This window comes from Homo sapiens, chromosome 6 (assembly GCF_000001405.40).
Source record: "Homo sapiens chromosome 6, GRCh38.p14 Primary Assembly".
In the NCBI taxonomy this organism is placed as follows: Eukaryota; Metazoa; Chordata; class Mammalia; order Primates; family Hominidae; genus Homo; species Homo sapiens.
Window position 1 is genome coordinate 143373526 of NC_000006.12, and position 2050 is coordinate 143375575.

General features: G+C 37.4%; 1 annotated feature.

Annotated features, from left to right (window-relative positions):
- Positions 1770-1829: an enhancer, noted in NCBI's record as "active region_25197". NCBI's record gives its function as "activates an Ori minimal core promoter by ATAC-STARR-seq in GM12878 lymphoblastoid cells {active_cell/tissue: GM12878}" and the evidence as "EXISTENCE:reporter gene assay evidence [ECO:0000049][PMID:35858748]".

Here is a 2050-nt window from a genome sequence, read left to right on the forward strand (position 1 = left end):
TGTCCAGGGAAGAAGGAAACTGTTTAATCATAAAATTGCTCAGATTTTGCTGTAAAGTAAGTTTCAGTTCTCTATATCTTCATACAGTTGCACTTTGTAAAATGATACAGCTTTATCTGAAAAAAAAAAATAAGTTGCCCTAATATAATACAGAAATCTTTTCCAGATCAAATCTTACTTTCACACTCACGGAGTAAAAATTTTTCACTGAGTTGAAACACATTAAAACATGCTCATTATTTTACATGCCTAGGAAAATTTCGAATTCTTCATATTACTTTTCCCAGGCATCCAGATGGGTTCTAAGAAAAGTTCTAGTGAGATTATATTTCGTCTGTATGGTTAAAAGAAGGAGTATTGGCAGTCTCCTAATTTAGTGGTGGTTTTTAGCCCAAATTCCAGATTAAGGAGGTTTAAGTTTCTGCAATTACAGCTTTTAAAAACACAGCAATGAATCTTCACAGGTTTACCTTCATTACAAATTGTATCACTAAGAAGATGAGAGAAAATAATATCTTTTGAAATTTTGTAGATCCATTCTCTGGATGTTATGGAGATCTCTCATCTTAACTCTAACACCTTTAAGGTATCCAAGGAGAAAATCAGGTGCATGGATGGCAGGTCAACTTCGGGTATGCCTCTCTTACTAATCACTATTTTCATGGGGCCATAGAACTTCCTGTGGTTAATGGTTGACACCTTCTGGTGGCCTGCAGGACAGGTGGCAAACTCAGACACATTGGGACTCAAAGGGGGTCTTGAGAGGTCGTTGAAATCTATTTCTCTGCCTTCAGGCAGAACCACTGGGGAAATATGAGATACCATCATAGTTTTAAAAGACTGTCAAGAAAGTAAATTCCAGGACATAAGAACAATAACTCCAGGAAAAAAAAAAACAAACCCTCAGTGTCTAGTAACCCTCAGTGTCAACCCTTATTTTCATTGTGGAGCTATTTTAAATTAATAAGCCTGGAAAATAGATACATGGCACAACTGATCTCTGGATGTCAACACATCAGTTAATTGCATATGACTCCCTAGAAAGTATATGTAACTCACAACTTGCACCTTACAAAAGAAGAGTTCAAAGTCCCTATCATTACTAAAGGGATTCTAAGCCAGAGTCACTTCCATTCTTTTCAGAATAAAATAGTGATTTCAGGAAGGTGAAACCACCTGTCACATTTCTATTTACCAGAACCAGTCAAGATTTGGGCTTTTTAAACTGCTTTGCCATTTCGTTTCTTCTCCTCATTGAAATTTACTTTTCATAGGAAACATGAATGTGAACATGTACTTTAAGGACTTAAAAGGAAATACACCCTTTAAATGTTAACGATGTCTATAATTATTTAGCACCTGCTTAAATAAAGACAGGAATTGCTCCAGAGTGTTACTTATTTTCATTGATCATAGGATCCTAGAGAAGGCAGAATTTTGTTGGGGGGAAAAATAACACCCCAAGAGAATGACAAGGGGAAACTACTGAAAAGCTATGATAGTTACAAATCAAAATGTTCCCAGGCAACTGCCATATCTCTGGTTTTCCTTGATCACATCAAATCTCAATTCATATAGCAAATTACATCACGCTGTGGAGTTTGATGCTCTAACATCTGTACCGTAGAGCCAGGTGGTGTTTATGATTAGAAATACTTTCTCACACAACTTTTACTTTCTGAAGCTATTATAATAATAGCCTCATGTGTTTGCTTGCTTGCTTAATTTTTTAATTTCGCTATTACTAATCCTTACCCAAACTTTTCATCAGAAGCATGAAGTCCCTCTCAATAGGATCAAACACATCAGGCCATCTATCCATCTCATCATTTTACTTGAAAGGTTCTCTCTGGGGGCCTTCCTTCCTTTTGCTCCATGTGACCAGGCTGCTTGGCCTGCTCCACGGGTGACACCCTGAAACTTGCTGTCTCCATCCACCTGGAAACTCCCTTTTCTTCTCTCCCAAGTTTGAGCCGTTGTTTTGGGGACTCCATGTCTTCCTCTTTCTTGGTTTATTCTTTATTTACATAAGAAAAGCCTCAGAGCTGGG